At 38.1% G+C, this 18,577-nt stretch overlaps 1 protein-coding gene across 15 annotated transcripts in view; it reads right to left on the reverse strand.

The window, feature by feature from the left end:
- The window catches only part of PDE4D (phosphodiesterase 4D), a 1,553,091-nt gene that overhangs the window by 1,057,084 nt on the left and 477,430 nt on the right, over positions 1–18,577 (reverse strand). The gene's annotated exons all lie outside the window — the stretch shown is intronic.

Genomic DNA, 18,577 nt, shown 5'->3' on the forward strand with positions numbered 1-18,577 from the left:
GGCTCAGTTCATTTACATGTGCAAAAATTACAGCATTAGTCACGAAACAAAGATCACTATTCATATTTCTTCATTGAAAATGTCCTTGCTAAATATTTCCATGGGAATGTTTAAAACAAAACAACAACAACAGCAACAAAAACAGTGGACTAGAGACTCTTTTAGTCCACCCAGACAAGTAGACAAGTGCTCCAATGACTCAGCAGTAAGATAGACACATTCACATTTTTGGCAAGAGCAGCCTGACAACATGGCATCATCCTTCCATTTATGATTCTGGCCTTATCTTCACACATCATTCCTCATGCACAGATCATAAAATCTTTAAAGTGCTCACATGTACTTAATTAATTTGAGTCCTGAGAATGAGGAAACACCAAGACAAGAAAAAGTGTAGTGATACTGAACCGAATGTATGTGATTAGCTGTCTTTAACTCAGTCCAATTATACAGGAAAATGATAAACTCGATGAATAATATTTAGGGGTTAGTCTTTTGCTCATCACTTTCAACACCATGATAAGTCCATTAGCCATCCCCTCAGCTGTTTTCCCAGTTTTCACTTCTAGCCCCATGCAACACATTTTCCACACCCTAGGCAGAGGAATCATTTACAAACTTAAATCAGATCGTTTAATCTTCTTGCTGAAAACCCTCAATGATTTGCCGTGGCATTTAAAATAAAATCTACTTCTCAGCATGGTATCCCAGAACCGTGCTCACTCTTCAATTTCATTCTGCTTCATGTTTCTGTAGACTTCTTTTTTCTCCATACTAATGAGCTTCTCACACCTAAAAGCCTTTACACACGCAAATTTTTTCTGTCCAGGTGACTTGTCCCAAAGTATAACTGTATCCTCGTTGTTATTCAGGGCTCAGTTCAAAGGTTACCTCTTCAGAGAAGTTTAGTCATACCCTCTCATTCCCCCGCCATTTTTTTCCTTCTCTCTTTTTTTCTTTTTAATTTTAGATTCAGGAGGCACATGTGTAGGTTTGTTACATGGATATGTTGCATGATGTTGAGGTTTGCTCTTCTATTGAACCTGTCACCTAAATAGTGAACATTGTACCCAATAGATAGTTTCTTAACCCTTGCTCCACTCCCTCCCTCTTCCCTCTTGGAGTCTCTAGTGTCTATTGTTTCCATCTTTATATCTGTGTATAACCAGGGTTTAGCTCCCATTATAAGTGAGAACATGAGGTATTTGGTTTTCTGTTCCTGCTTTAATTCACTTAGGATAATGGCCACTAGCTACATCCATGTTGCTGAAAGGACATGACTTTGTTCTTTTTTATGATTGCATAATATTCCATGGTATATATTTACCACATGGTGTATATGTACCTAGGTGTCAATAGGCACCTAGATTGACTCCATGTCTTTGCTGTTGCCCCCCACCACTCATCATCTCATCACTATGTTTTACTTCCATCATAGTACTTGTTTTCTGAAATATCTCATCCATTACTGGTCTCTTGTCTGTCTCCCTCTCACAACACTGTAAGCGTCATCACAGGCTTTGCCAGTTTCAGTCACAGGCATATCCCCAGGGCCTGGAATGGTGTCTGATGCATGCTGGACACTCAATAAAGATTTGTTGATTAAATAAATGAATCTCAATACAGCAAAACCTTGTCCATTAGTGCTGGAATCAGGAAGAAATGTGTGACTACATCATGCAGTGGAATAAAGAATCTATCCATATTTTTAAAGCAAAACACATGATACTAAAGAAATGTTGCATTTTGAACTGTGCCATCAAATAACTTGAGTTAAAACTTTCGTGTCCTCTGCTGTTCTGGGTATTGTGAATGAGTTGGAAAATTCTGAGAATCTCTGTTCTATATTCTATGCCTGATACGATCATGTCCTCTTATGGCCTCAACTGTCATTCACCTCCAAACAGAGGACCCTGAAATACTTCTCTCTTATTTCACTTCTCCATTTGCTAAATGATTCTTTTAGCTTACACCCCAGACAACATAGACTCTATTTGCCCAAATACATCACTATTTCATGGACCCAGACACTCTTCCTCTGTTAATCACTTATCACTGTCAGGCTGATAACCTTTGAGCTCTCTTTGCCTTTTTCTTCTATCTTTTCTGTCTCTCAACTTGACTTTTTCCTTTAGCTTCATGTTTTGGGGGCCCCAAGATTTATTTTCCTTTCACACTGGATACAATGTACATTATTTGAGTAATGGGTGCCCCCAAAGCCCTGCCTTCACCACTGTGCAATCTCAACACACATCTGTATAAAATTCTTCACATCTGTTCCTTTGTTTCTACAGCCACTATCCTGGGTCTGTCTGCCCTCATTGTTTGCCTAAACTATTGTGAAATTTTTCTAATTGGTCTTCCTCAGTATAATTTTTCCTTCCCTCCAACATATCCACCAATAAATCATGCTCTGTTCATTTCACTCAACTCAAAACCTTTCATGGTTGCCGCTGACTGAAGGAAGTATCCCAATTACTTGTATAAAAATGAGTAAAATCCATGAAATGCCCCTGATCCATATTCCTAGTTTACATTCCTCAACTGCCTCTTTCCTCCTATAGTTCTTTGCTTTAAGACCCTTCTGTGACTCAACATTCTAAAAACTTCCTTGCATTTTTTTCTCTTTTGATCTTTGATCTCAATATAATCTCTTCCCAGTATGCCCTTCCAATGATTCCTAAATTCTAGGCACTCAATACATATTGATTTGCTGAATAAATAAACCCCTGTTTTGCCTCAAGGCCAAGTCAATGACAACTTCTCTAATCTTCCTCAATCCCTCCAGTCAGATTACCCTTTCCCTCCTCTTAAACATTTATGATGCACAATAATTCTATTTTAGCATATTGAGCTCACTCCACTTTCCAGTATAACTGGTTAGATACATATCTGTCCTCCCCGCTAAATTAAAAATTGCTTTATGGCTAGGGCCATTGTTATTTTTGTTTTGTTTTTGTTATTTATTTATTTTTACTTGTATAAATGTATGGGGTACAAGTATAATTTTGTTACATGCATAGATTGCATAGCAGTGAAGTCAGGGCTTTTAGGGTATCCATCACTCAAATCATGTACCTTATACCCAGTGTGAAAGGAAAATAAATCTTGGGGCCCCCAAATCACTAAGCTAAAAGGAAAAGTCAAGCTGGGAACTGTTTAGGGCCAACCTGCCTCCCATTCTATTCAAAGTCACCCCTCTGCTCACTGAGATAGATGCATATCTGATTGCCTCCTTTAAAAAGGCTAATCAGAAACTCAAAATAATGCAACCATTCATCTCACTTATCTGTGACCTGTAAGTTCCCGCTTCCAGTCTTCCTGCCTTTGCTTCAAGTTGTCCCGCCTTTCCAGACTGAATCAGTGCACTTCTTACATACATTGATTGATGTCTCATGTCTCTCTAAAATGTATAAAACTAAGCTATGCCCTAACCACCTTGGGTATATATTGTCAGGACTTCCTGAGGCTGTTAGGGGTGCACATCCTCAATGCCATCTTGGCAAAATAAACTTTCCAAATTAACTAAGACTTGTCTCAAATCTTGAAGGTTCACACCAGTAAGTAATCTTTCATCATCTACCACCCGCCACCACCACCCTCTTACCCTTCTGAGTCTCTGTTTGTTCTTCCATAGCATCAGTTAGGCAGACTGAAGGTGATTGTTGAAGTTAGGATGGAGGTCAAGTGCTTGTTGGTGGTGGTGATGGTGATGATGTGGTAAATGGAGTGAGTTGTGGATGTGCTACTTGATGGTACGGGGGCCCCAGCATCCCCCATCCTCAGAGACGGGGGAATTTCTCATACTGTGCATTCTATTTTCCAATTCTGGCTACCTAAAATCCCCAATTAACCCAGGTATATACACCAGTGAGCTCTTAGACCATAAATGCAAGTTACAGAATCATTCCCATCATCAACCATTGATGCCTAAAATGCTGGATTAAAGCAGCAACTGGTTTAATTAATCCCAATATCCTAAAGCCCTAATTACACAGACTTAACCCCAATGTCCATGAGCCAAACACTGCTTAAAGAGTTGGTTAAGGCCGGGCGCGGTGGCTCACGCCTGTAATCCCAGCACTTTGGGAGGCCGAGGCGGGTGGATCATGAGGTCAGGAGATCGAGACCATCCTGGCTAACAAGGTGAAACCCCGTCTCTACTAAAAATACAAAAAATTAGCCGGGCGCGGTGGCGGGCACCTGTAGTCCCAGCTACTCGGGAGGCTGAGGCAGGAGAATGGCGTGAACCCGGGAAGCGGAGCTTGCAGTGAGCCGAGATTGCGCCACTGCAGTCCGCAGTCCGGCCTGGGCGACAGAGCGAGACTCCGTCTCAAAAAACAAAAAAACAAAAAACAAAAACAAGAGTTGGTTAATATCCATGATCAGTAGAGCTGAAAGCAATAAACTAGATACTTCCAATAGAACATTCATTCCTACACTCAGATTTCTAAAACTCGTCACATTCTGAAGTCAGCATAAATCAAATCTTAAAAAGACACATGATTTTAAAATAAACTCGCTCCCTATTATATTTCAACCATAGATAACATGGCATAAAATTCAATGCTTTTGTGACACGAGTTTACCTTTATAACAAAATTGCACATATACCCCAAACCTAAATTAAATGTTCAAAAATAAATAAATAAATGAATTTAAAAACTCACACTACCTCGTAAGGAAAATCTACAGTGGCCTATTAATTTTTGCTTTTCCGTGTAAGTTTTAGACCCAGATTGGCAAGTTCCCCCAAAATAAACAAGTCAGTATTTTGACTTAAATTATATCAAATCTACAGATCAGTTGATGGACCACTGCAATTTTTATGATTTGGAGACTTCTGATCCAGGGACATGGTATGGACCTTCATGTTATTTTAATTCAATGTTCCCATAATTTATGCTTTTGTTGAAAATAGATATAGAATAATGTAGGACCTAAAAGAATAGTGGACAACTAAGAACACTTCACATTTTATTTGTGAAAGAATATTTTCTGTTAGTCAGAGATATGAATTTTCCTTGACATCTTTAGCATCTTATGAAATGTATTTGGGTAAAGGAGTAGTGAGGATTAACCACCTATGATTAAAGAAACCCTGATTTAGTCTATAGATACAAGAAGAGGCTTTTTGCTTTAACAAACATTTAATTATAATGAAAAATTTTAAAGGCCTTTCACTGGCAAATAGATTTTAAGGGAAATTAAACATGACAAAGGCTATTTGCTTTCCTTTACTTCATCACATCAGTTCCCAGAACATCCTGCCATTGTAGAGTAAATCAAAACAAAAGCCAAGCACACACAAGGGCCAAAAAAATTGGTGAATCCTAAATACAAGCATGCAGGCTGCTGCAGAAATTGGGAACAGCAGCGGGGAGGAGCCTGGGGATAATTTCCATGTATAGCCTCCCTTTAAATCTGTATTTGAATCCAAACCAAAGCAGATGTCAGTCAGCTAGCCCTGCCTGATGAAGAATAATATGTTTACATAAATTTCAATCTATCTTTTTACCTACTGCTAAACCAAAGTTTTTTACTGGAATTCCACATTTAAAAATTGCAAGAAATTTATGATAAGAATATTTAACTGCTGGAATAGCTATTAAAATTAAACAAATAATATGTCTTATAATAAGAGAAAGAGAGAGGGAGGGAGAGAGAAAGAAATGAGAGAGAAAGAGAAACAATGACAGGTTAAAGTAATTGGAATTATTTACCTCAGAGAAAATAGTCAAAACCTGATGTAATTACATATGCAGAAAATATACAACAGACTGTCAGTGAAGTTGAAGCAAATTACAAGAATAATTAAAATCAGCTTTGTTTTCTAGCTATTATCTTAAGAAGCTATAAGGAAGCGCTTTATTATCAACTGGTTAGTGATAAACATTATAAATTACCTTTTTAATTAGTAAAGCTTCTGAAGTATTTAGTAAAACTTCAAAAACAGAAGAATTTAGTAATTCAGGGAAATACAATAAAATCTTAGTAAAACTTCAAAAATAGAAGAATTTAGTAATTCAGGGAAATACAGTAAAATCTTATAGATTAGGCTATGTCTAAGAAAAATGATAACCATGATGAAGATAGTACAAACATAATTAATGACTTCTTGGATAGAATATAAATCTCGTCCCCTTTAGACTATGGTATGCTCATTTAATTTGATCAATGTGTATAGTCACACTGAATAATTCAGGCTATTTAGTTTGGTAAAATTAGCCATACAACTTCTACTTCTCTATTGCGTTCTTATTTCTGGATTACAATGCTCTTTGTTAACTTCTCTCTTTGATGATCTCAACACTTTCTATTTTCTGAGCCATTCCATAACTAAACAGGGTAAGAGTTTCCAGGACTCATTTGTTTTAAATGGGAAAGGTACTCATTCCCGCAATATGTTACTTTGATGTTGCGTAAAGCACATTGTGAGCTTTGGAATAATACAAACCTGCATTCAAATCCTACCTTTTCTAGGAAAGTTATGAAACATCTCTTAGCTGCTTCCTTAAAGTGTCAAATGGGAGATAATTTACTAGATAAGGTAGTTGTAAGAATTAAATGAGGTAACATGTGAAGCACTTACTATAGAGCTTTCCACATAGTTATTAAAAAATGTTATTTCTTTCCCTTTGTTTGTTGTCACAAGTTCTTTTAGGGAAGGATGTAGAGCAAAAGATATGCATAAACTTGTGAAACTTTACCACTGTTCAGAATTCCTCAGAGAGAGAAACTACATTCATCTTGGAAATCCATATTGCGTACTTTGAAGAACTGCAGTTCTTCTTGCAAACTCTTTATTTCTTTGAAGTTAGGTCAGGAGAATAATACGGCATCATTCTGTGGACAAGCCATGGTTATTGCCACCAAATAAAATGTCTCTGTATCAAGAATCTGGCCCTTCTAAAAGTAGCATTTGTGATTAGAGATCATGTCCAGGTCTATCTATACACAGTGCCCCCGCCACCCCAATATACTTTTAATTGAGTTTTTACTCACTGAGACCTACAATATCACTGGTAAAGTATCTCAGCTTTCATTTGTGCTGTTGTTCGGTAAACTACAAATTTTCCTTGAGAAACGAGTGACATTTATTTTCAATGTCAATATTCTACCTTTGGTTGTATACTGAGAACCAGAACACAAAAATCCCCAGTAATTCATCTCCAGTGTCTGATAACTACCTCATAAATGATCATGGTGTGAAGTTTTGCACGAGGATTTTCAAAGAAAAGATATTCAAACCTCTTTTCAAAAGACAATTGTTGATGGTTCAACAAGAAAGAGGATGTTTTGGTTATCCTACCACTTTTACACTCCAGGAATTCAAAAAATGTTTTAAAAGGGTGAATTTTATTTTATCCATTTTTTGCCACAATTTCTAAAACAACAACAAAAAAAGAGTGAGTGATACAAAGTAGCTACACAATCTCACTATTAAAGTCAGGTAATCTCCATTAATTGTAAATATTAACTTCCATGCTAATTAATTTCACCCAACTGAAGTGTAAATATGCCCTTTGCTTTTGTTGACACCCTAAGGATTTAGAGATTCTACCCATTAGGATGTTGAAAAGCAGTGTGGGGTTTTTGAAGAGGAACATTTTCACACCATCTGGATGAATCAAAGGGTCATCTTAGAACACAGTTGTCAATACAATTTCTAGAATCAGTGCAGTGAAAGTAAAGCACCCAGAGAAATTTGGCAATAGGCATGTGGGAAACAGAGAGTTTGCTCTCAGTTTTTTCTCCAATAAAAATATTGCTAAGACATAGTTCCAGGATGAAATAAAAATAATATACACTGCTAGCTCAGAGTTATTTACATGAGCTATGGATAAAGGACCACAAGATTTCAAAGCAGTCTCAGGACTCTTTTCTTAGCTAGCAAACTATATCTGAGATGATCTTGTCCTCCCTCTCAGAGGATAAGCAGGAATTTGCTGAGTAGAGAAGTTGTGAGAAAGGCAATGATGTGGGAGATAGGAAGAAGCAGGAAGGAAAAGCAGATATGTAAAGGCAAGAAGCATGCAAGTAAAAGTCAGATTTGGGGGATGGTAAAGACTTCAACATAGCTAGAGACAGGGTTATGGATGGGAAGTGCATTCATTTCCCATTGCCCTTACAACAAATTAACACAAACTGAGTGGTTTAAAACACCACAAATAAGTCAGAAGTCCTGAATTAGTCTTACAGAGCTAAGCTAAAATCAGGATGTCAGTGGGATTAATTGCTTCTGGAGATGCCAATGGGGGATTCATCCCTTTCTTCTTCCAGCTTCTAGAGGCTTTCAGCATTGCATGCCTTGGCTTGCGGCTTCACACCAATTTCTACTTCTGCTGTCACATTGCCTTCTTCTGCCTTTGACCTTCCTGCCTCTCTCTTAAAAGGCCCCTTTATAATTACATTTAGGGCCTGCCTGGATCATCAAGGAAAATCCCCCCATCTCAAGATCCTTAAATTAACCACATCTGCAAAGTTCCTTTTGACATATAAGGTTACATATTCACAGGTTATGGAAATTACGACTTGGATATCTTTTGAGGACCATTATTCAGACTACCACAGGCAGTAATACAACTTATGATATTTATCATTTCCGCATGTTATTCGTTACACTAGGTACTTTACCTGCATTATATAGCCACAATGCTCTCTGTCTCTGCAAGATGAGAAATATTATGGGTGAGATTCAAAATGTTTAAAAACTTGTGCTCAGGGGCACTGAGCAATCAGCATGGGTCAGACACAGTTCTGAAGCCCTCATTGCTGTACAACTCTCCCTCTGCTGTATGAGAGAGATCCACATGGTAGCCTGGAAGATCATCCAGGCAAAATGTGCATGCAGCAGGGTGCGGTGGCTCACACCTGTAATCCCAGCACTTTGGGAGGCTGAGGCGGGAGGATCACCTGAAGTCAGGAGTTCGAGACCAGCCTGGCCAACATGGCGAAACCCAGTCTCTATTAAAAATACAAAAATTAGCCGGGCATGGTGACGTATGCCTGTAGTCCCAGCTACTCGGGAGGCTGAGGCAGGAGAATTGCTTGAACCCAGGAGGCGGAGGTGGCAGTGAGTTGAAATGGCGCCACTGCACACCAGCCTGGGCAACAGAGCGAGACTCCGTCTCAAAAAAAAAAAAAAAGGGCATACTTGTGTATACTGATTAAATATCAATGTTGAGAATAGCACATCAAGGTAGGTCCTCTGCCAGGTATTTTGCATTCATTATTGTACTTAATCCTTATTTTCACCCTCTGAGGAAGGCATTTTTGTCTCTGTTTTACAGATTAAAATTCAAAAGGCTCAAAGAAGTTAAATAACTTGCCCATGTTCACATGGCGAGTCACTCTGAGAACCAAGAGCCAAACTCTGTATGCTTCTAGACCCCCTTTTCCTTCCATCAAGTTAGGCGGAGTCTTATTTAAAAATCTAAAATAATAATAAAATTTAGAGATACTTAAGGATTATGAAACCCATATGATAGTCTGTGTAATAAATTAGATATTATATTTTTGAAAATTTGTAGTGGGTTAATCTTCAATGGCAGAGGTGAGGGTGGCCACCCCTCCTCCCAAATAGGGAGAGTGCAACATTATATCAAATGACCAAGTTAATTCCTTGGGAGGCACCCGATGGGCTCACTTACTTGTCTCAATAATTGGATTGCCAAAGCAATTAGAGATGTCATGCGGGCCCCTCCTAAAAACTCAATACCAAGCTGGGGTCTTAGCATGAGAAAGTCTTAACATCCTTGCCATTCCTTTGCTACTAGTGCCACTATAACATTCCCAGCAGATTCAAACTGTGATTTTAAAAGATACACAACAACCAAATAAGTTAATTATGCTCTTCACAGTTTGCTTAGACATATAGAATTTAACAGCCACTAAACATGTGAAACACTGAGTGATGTTTCAAAATAAAGTTTGGCTGGAAATATTATAGTTATCATCCTTCATCATTACCTGGAAGATCATATTCATTTTGGGTTGATATGACACAAATGAATGTATTCATGTGAACCTGATAGATTTTACTGTTGGTTTTCTGAGAAAATATTTTAAAAGAACTAAGGAAAATCAGCTACAAGTTCATGAGGTACACATAGCTTAAAATATCTCAAATAATGTCCTAAAGCTCATGCAGACACACTTGTACAGCTACACAGCACATAATAGTGTAAGGACCCACCAATCCATTGTTCAAGTTATTCTAAGGAATACGTTTTGTTTAAAATCCAGTCCCCTGGTTTACAATAATTCCTGTATCAGGAAAAAAGGGTGTGAGCTCATCAGCAGAGTGAATCACAATAACTCAAACAGGATGATTGATGAGATAGTGAAAAGGTGTTGGTGAATTTACACAGGCCATTAACCTAATAATTTATTCAACTTTCTCTGCAAACTCCCGTGAATATATCCAAGAAGGCACATAAACTCATGTCTCCGAACTCTTGTTAAAAGAATATTAGGGAATTCACAAAGTTCACAGAATTATGGGGAAAAAAATTAATAAGTCCTGAGTCTCCTTTATGCCCTGACACTGAAGTCAATGTTGTCCTCTTACCAAAAAGCAAACACAAGCCTGACTACGGCACTTTGTTGCCTAGTTACCCTCGTGTCCTCACAGGCCTGGGTTGCCTATCTCTGTGGGAATGAATTAAATTCTGCAAATAAACTCTGACTTGGACACTTCAGGGTCCATTGGTTTACTCGGACTAAACTGTGCTTTGTCTATAAATGGTCCTAGAATTTCATTCATAATTTTGGAAAGGGGTAGAGGGAGGAAAAACACAAAATACATATAAAATCTGAAATCTGAAATGTGTTCTATTTAAAAACATTTTGTCTTATAAAAAACGCTACCTCCATGCAAGGAGGGGGGCCCATTGTGATATGTCAGCAGAGACCAGATCACATGCACTTCAGTTACCTGCATGCCAGGTTAATTCACATAGGAATAGGATACGCATATGGTTTTTCATCACAGAACAAAACTAGATGAGAATGTATGTGGATAACACTATCTGGTGGGTAGGGACAGGGAGAGAGTAAGCCATTATATAATCTTGAAGTTTGGGGCATTAGGGAATATTACATGCAATACAATATGTTAAAATGCTTAGCACCTATGAATTCAGCTTAATTGATGTATAAAGTATAGAAACAAAGCTCATTTGAACATAACATTTCAATGGAAAAAAGGATGAGCATTTTTTTTATCTTATTGGTACTAGATCTTTACAAAAAGATTTAAGGTTCATAAATTTCCCTTAATTTGCTTCAGTTTCAAATAAAAGATTATTTCATTAATTTATTATTGACTCTCACTAATACATATAACTTACTTTTTAGTCTGGGCCCATTTGTTTACTTATTCGTTGCTTTCCTCATTCATTGGTTTTAATAATGTTTATGTGCCAATCACTGTGCTAAGTCATAAAAATTCAAAGCAAACAAGAGGGAGAGTGATCTCTGCCCTGGTGGGGTTTTTGCTGAAGCAGAGAAGACAGGTGATTCTAAAAATAATTAATACATTACCTAAATGAGTGTTTTGAAGGGAGACAGGTAGCACATCTGAAAGTCTATAATTCCTAACCTATTTATGTGCAATATTGTTTAGCTAAAGAAATCAAAGGTAGTTCTGAAATATGGAACATAAGCAGACAACTTTTATTCTGACACTTTTTATTTTTAAAGTGATTTCCTAAGCAACCCTAAAATATTTTAAGACAACTGCATTTTTTAGTCCTATGCATATTATCAAACTGATAAAAAATAAAATTTTATATCAAAAATGAAATATTGTCTAAGTGACATATTTATATCACCTTCATTTTGCAGATTTTGGAAAAATTTAGGTGGCTCCATGGTCTTTCTTGCTGGTTAAATCCATTAAAAAATATAGATGAGTAGGTCGCGAAAATTTTCTCCCATTTTGTAGGTTGCCTGTTCACTCTGATGGTAGTTTCTTTTGCTGTGCAGAAGCTCTTTAGTTTAATTAGATCCTATTTGTCAATTTTGGCTTTGGTTGCCATTGCTTTTGGTGTTTTAGACATGAAGTCCTTGCCCATGCCTATGTCCTGAATGGTAATGTCTAGGTTTTCTTCTAGGGTTTTTACGGTTTTAGGTCTAATGTTTAAGTCTGTAATCCATCTTGAATTGATTTTTGTATAAGGTGTAAGGAAGGGATCCAGTTTCAGCTTTCTACATATGGCTAGCCAGTTTTCCCAGCACCATTTATTAAATAGGGAATCCTTTCCCCATTGCTTCTTTTTCTCAGGTTCGTCAAAGATCAGATAGTTGTAGATATGCGGCGTTATTTCTGAGGGCTCTGTTCTGTTCCACTGATCTATATCTCTGTTTTGGTACCAGTACCATGCTGTTTTGGTTACTGTAGCCTTGTAGTATAGTTTGAAGTCAGGTAGTGTGATGCCTCCAGCTTTGTTCTTTTGGCTTATGCAGGCTCTTTTTTAGTTCCATATACACAGCAAAAGAAACTACCATCAGAGTGAACAGGCAACCTACAAAATGGGAGAAAATTGTCGCAACCTACTCATCTGACAAAGGGCTAATATCCAGAATCTACAATGAACTCAAACAAATTTACAAAAAAAAAACAAACAACCCCATCAAAAAGTGAGTGAAGGACATGAACAGACACTTCTCAAAAGAAGACATTTATGCAGCCAAAAAACACATGAAAAAATGCTCACCATCACTGGCCATCAGAGAAATGCAAATCAAAACCACAATGAGATACCATCTCACACCAGTTAGAATGGTGATCATTAAAAAGTCAGGAAACAACAGGTGCTGGAGAGGATGTGGAGAAATAGGAACACTTTTACACTGTTGGTGGGACTGTAAACTAGTTCAACCATTGTGGAAGTCAGTGTGGCGATTCCTCAGGGATCTAGAACTAGAAATACCATTTGACCCAGCCATGCCATTACTGGGTATATACCCAAAGGACTATAAATCATGCTGCTATAAAGACACATGCACATGTATGTTTATTGTGGCACTATTCACAATAGCAAAGACTTGGAACCAACCCAAATGTCCAAGAATGATAGACTGGATTAAGAAAATGTGGCACATATACACCATGCAATACTATGCAGCCATAAAAAAATGAGTTCATGTCCTTTGTAGGGACATGGATGAAATTGGAAATCATCATTCTCAGTAAACTATCACAAGAACAAAAAACCAAACACCGCATATTCTCACTCATAGGTGGGAATTGAACAATGAGAACACATGGACACAGGAAGGGGAACATCACACACTGGGGACTGTTGTGGGGTGGTGGGAGGGGGGAGGGATAGCTTTAGGAGATATACCTAATGCTAAATGACAAGTTAATGGGTGCAGCACACCAGCATGGCACATGTATACACATGTAACTAACCTGCACATTGTGCACATGTACCCTAAAACTTAAACTATAATAATAATAAAAGAAAAAAAATAAAAAAAATAAAAAATATAGATATATATGACAAGGTTCTTAGGACCCAACTACATCTGTGGCTTTGAGACCATATAATCCCATGTCTTTAGTTTAATCTACACCAAGTAGTATTCATTTACAATTTCTGATATTCAAGATGTTTCCTAGCTTTTCAAAGACCCATAGATGTCCTTTCCTCAGTGGTAAAATTGTAATAGCCACCATCAGGAAATTCTGCTATTGTGCTAAGGTTCCTTTCTTTCTCTTTTGAAGAGCAAAAAATAAACAGAGCCAGTTACAGCACAATGGCTGCCCAGGCTTCCCCACTTAACATTCCTGAACATATTTATTGTGGAAATAAATTCTGATAATATTGCAAGTATTTTATTTTTATCATTCATTTAGAAATATATTTTGAATGCCCCATTCACTCTATCAAAACTGGAAACACTTCCTTTTCAATTTTCCCAATTACCTTTATTTCTTAAGATGAAGTTATTTAAATTTCACAAGTAGAAGAATATTGGACTAATTTATCTATGTGTAGTTTCCATCAGCCACAATTTTTGTATTTGATTAGCGTCTAAGCAAAATTCTTTTCTGAGTTTTTCTAATATGAAGGTTTACAGCTCATCACACAGAAAAAGCAAAGCCTCTTTTTTGGTACTAGTGTGCTGCTGTGTAGAAAGACCAGTGTTGTCACATCACCAGCAGGATGGGAGCTGTGGCTTGCTTTTCTAGTAGAGTGGGATGCTGTGATTATCTGCCTCTACTCTCTCACCAATTTCCCCTTTGAATAAAAGGTAAATGCTGATGAGCCTCCAGGTTGGGTGGAAATTCCACCTGTAGATGTAGAATAACATTGTCCTAATTAATGTTGTATATGTCTACAGTCTGTGCTTTATCTCACTATAACTTTCACCAAATGAATTAATTAGCTTTCATTTTGGTTATATACAACCATTACTCAGAAATGCATACTTCATGGAAATTATTTCCATGTTCTTAACCATTTAAATTAGGATTATTGATATGAGGTAATATTTTAAAAATAAAATGACCAATTGTGTACTATACATACAGTTAATATTAGGTGTATGCACATTCAAAACTAATGATACATTATAATATAATGAACTATTTTTCTTTACTGCCTCTGTCCATTCCCTAAGTATTCTGTCCGATAATTAAAAACAGACATAAACTATTATTACCCTAAATGTTAATTCTTGTTCCATTTACTGAAAAACTCAATGAGGTAACATTTTAAACAATGGTTTCTTCTTTAAGATTTTTATTTACAATTAAGTGAGCCCGAATTCTTTCGTAACTGTGTTGAAAACAAAACTCTCCTCACTATAAGTTGAATGCTTTAGCTGATTAAAATAAAAGTATTTTAGTATTTTAGCTGGTTAAAATAAAAGCTCATGAAAGGCTCACTGATTCATATTAGTAACTTCAGTTTTATAATTTAACTGCCATTATAGTTCTTATAAAAAATTTCCATCATTAAATCACAAACTGCTCCAAATTTTTATTTTGAGAAGCAATATGTTCATAAATGAAGCTTTGGATTATTAGATATATAGATAGTATATTCATCTCATTGTTGAAAGTTGAAAATTTTGGTCGATAGTCACGGCTTGGCTGATTTCTTCATAGAATTCTCTATGTATGTTCTACATGACATTGCTATGACACTAATGTCCAAAGCCTCCATTTCTCTTGAGAAAAAAAAATCACTTCTTGTCATGTTTCAATCACCCTCTGAGACGAAGCCACACACAGATGAAACAATAGCTAATTCTTTAAGGCAACTAGGAACTCTTTTGTGCCCTGGCAGGATAGTGTTTGAAACTTGTAATATGGTATACAGTTCTAATGGTAACATTTGAAAATAAGTGAATTACAGTGGCTGGCTGGCAAGATGGCCGAATAGGAACAGCTCCGGTCTGCAGCTCCCAGCGAGACCAATGCAGAAGGCAGGTGATTTCTGCATTTCTAACGGAGATACCCAGCTCATCTCATTGGGACTGGTTAGACAGTGGGTACAGACCACGGCGTGTGAGCTGAAGCAGGGTTGGGCATCAACTCACCTGGGAAGTTCAAGGGGTTGGGGAACTCCCTCCTCTAGCCAAGGGAAGCCATGAGGGACTGTGCTGTGAGGAATGGTGCATTCCGGCCCAGATACTACACATTTCCCACAGTCTTTGCAACCTGCAGACCAGGAGATTCCCTTGGGTTCCTACACCACCAGGATCCTGGGTTTTAAGCACACAACTGGGTGGCTGTTTGGGCAGACACCGAGCTAGCTGCAGGATTTTTTTTTTTTTCATACCACAGTGGCACCTGGAAGGCCAGTGAGACAGAACCATTCACAACTGTGGAAAGGGGGCTGAAACCAAGGAGCCAAGTGGTCTAGCTCAGCGGATCCCACCCCTGTGGAGCCCAGCAAGCTAAGATCCACTAGTTTAAATTTCTTGTTGCCAGCACAGCAGTCTGAAGTGGACCTGGGACACTTGAGCTTGGTGAGGGGAGGGGTGTCTGCTATTACTGAGGCTTCAGTAGGCGGTTTTCTCCTCACAGTGTAAACAAAGCCACCAGGAAGTTCAAACTGGGCTCAGCTCCACAAAGCCACTGTAGCCAGACTGCCTTCCTAGATTCCTCCTCTCTGGGCAGGGCACTTCTGAAAGAAAGGCAGCAGCCCCAGTCAGGGGCTTATAGATAAAATTCCCATCTCCCTGGGACAGAGCACCTGGGGGAAGGGGTGCCTGTAGGCGCTGCTTCAGCAGACAAACATTCCTGCCTGCTGGCTCTGAAGAGAGCAGTGGATCTCCCAGCGCAGTGCTTGAGCTCTGCTAAGGGACACAATGCTTCCTCAAATGGGTCCCTCACCCCCGTGCCTCCTGACTGGGAGATACTTCCCAGCAGGGGTCGACAGACACCTCATACAGGAGAGATCCAGCTGGCATCTGGTGGGTGCCCCTCTGGGAAAAACCTTCCAGAGGAAAGAACAGGCAGCAATCTTTGCTGTTCTACAGCCTCTGCTGGTGATACCCAGGCAAAGAGGGTCTGGAGTGGACATCCAGCAAACTCCAGCAGACCTGCAGCAGAGAGGCCTGACTGTTAGAAGGAAAACTAACAAACAGAAAGGAGTAGCATCAACGTCAACAAAAAGGATGTCCAGTCAGAAACCCCATCCAAGGGTCACCAACATCAAAGACCAAAGGTAGATAAATCCATGAAGATGGGGAGGAACCAGTGCAAAAAGTCTTAAAATTACAAAAATCAGAATGCCTCTTCTCCAAAGGATCACAACTCCTCACCAGCAAGGGAACAAAACTGGATGGAGAATGAATTTGACAAATTGACAGAAGTAGACTTCAAAATGTGGGTAACAACAAATGGCTCCGAGCTAAAGAAGCATGTTCTAACCCAATGCAGAGAAGCTAAGAACACTGAAAAAAGGTGAGAGGAATTGCTAACTAGAATAATCAGTTTAGAGAAGAATATAAACGACCTGATGGAGCTGAAAAACCCAGCACAAGAACTTCCTGAAGCATACACAAGTATCAATAGCCAAATTGATCAAGCAGAAGAAAGGATATCAGAGATTGAAGATCAATTTAATGAAAGAAAGGGTGAAGACAAGATTAGAGAAAAAAGAATGAAAGGGAAAGAACAAAGCCTCCAAGAAATATGGGACTATGTGAAAAAAACAAACTTACGTTTGATTGGTGTACCTCAAAGTGATGGGAGAATGGAACCAAGTTGGAAAACACCCTTCAGGATATTATCCAGTAGAATATCCCCAACCCAGCAAGACAGGCCAACATTCAAATTCAGGAAATACAGAGAACACCACAAAGATACTCCTCGAGAAGAGCAACCCCAAGACACATAATCATCAGATTCACCAAGGTCGAAATGGAGGAAAAAATGTTAAGGACAGCCAGAGAGAAAGCTCAGGTTACTCACAAAGGGAAGCACATCAGACTAACAGTGGATCTCTCTGCAGAAACCCTACAAGACAGAAAAGAGAGGGGGCCACTCTTAAAGGAAGGAATTTTCTTTTTTTTTTTTTTAAGGTTAAGGAATATTAAAGAGTTTATTTTATGCTCATTTATTCCTTCTTGAAAGCTCTTCTTTTCTTTACGTAGATTTCAGTTTTTGACCTATGTCATTTCATTTCTGACCGAAAAATTTCTTTCAACATTTATTTCAAGGCAGGTCTACTGGTGACAGATTCAGCCTTTGTCTGAGAAAGCATTTCTTCTTTGCTTTTGAAGGATAGTTTCACTGTATCCAGAATTCTAGTTTTATCCTTTAAACACTTTAAATATTTCACGCTACCTTCTTCTTTCTTGCATGGTTGCCAATGAGATTTCTGATGTAATTCTTATCCTTGTCCCTCCTTAGGTAAATTTCTTCTCTTCTGTAGCTTCTTTCATGTTTTCTGGTTGTCTTTAGTTTTCTGTGATTTGAACATAATATGACTAGGTGTGGACTTTTTTTTTATACTCAACAATAATTTATTGTATATTTTCAAATAGCTAAAAGAGGAGAATTGGACTGTTTCTAATACAAGACATGATAAATGCCTGAGGTGATGGACACCCCAATTGCCCCAATAAGATTATTATATATTGTATGTATCAAAATTTCACATGTATCCCATAGATATATACACTTATTATGTACCCATAATAATTAAAAACAATTTTTTAAAAGATCCTGTTTCTTAACATCTTTGACACTTCATTTATACTCTAGTTTTTCCTTTTTTTTATATTATACTTTAAGTTTTAGGGTACATGTGCACAATGTGCAGGTTAGTTACATATGTATACATGTGCCATGCTGGTGTGCTGCACCCACTAACTCGTCATCTAGCATTAGCTATATCTCCCATTGCTATCCCTCCCCCCTACCCCCACCCCACAATAGTCCCCAGAGTGTGATATTCCCCTTCCTGTGTCCATGTGTTCTCATTGTTCAATTCCCACCTATGAGTGAGAATATGCGGTGTTTGGTTTTTTGTTCTTGCGATAGTTTACTGAGAATGATGATTTCCAATTTCATCCATGTCCCTACAAAGGACATGAACTCATC

Source organism: Homo sapiens, chromosome 5, assembly GCF_000001405.40.
Source record: "Homo sapiens chromosome 5, GRCh38.p14 Primary Assembly".
Classification (NCBI taxonomy): Eukaryota; Metazoa; Chordata; class Mammalia; order Primates; family Hominidae; genus Homo; species Homo sapiens.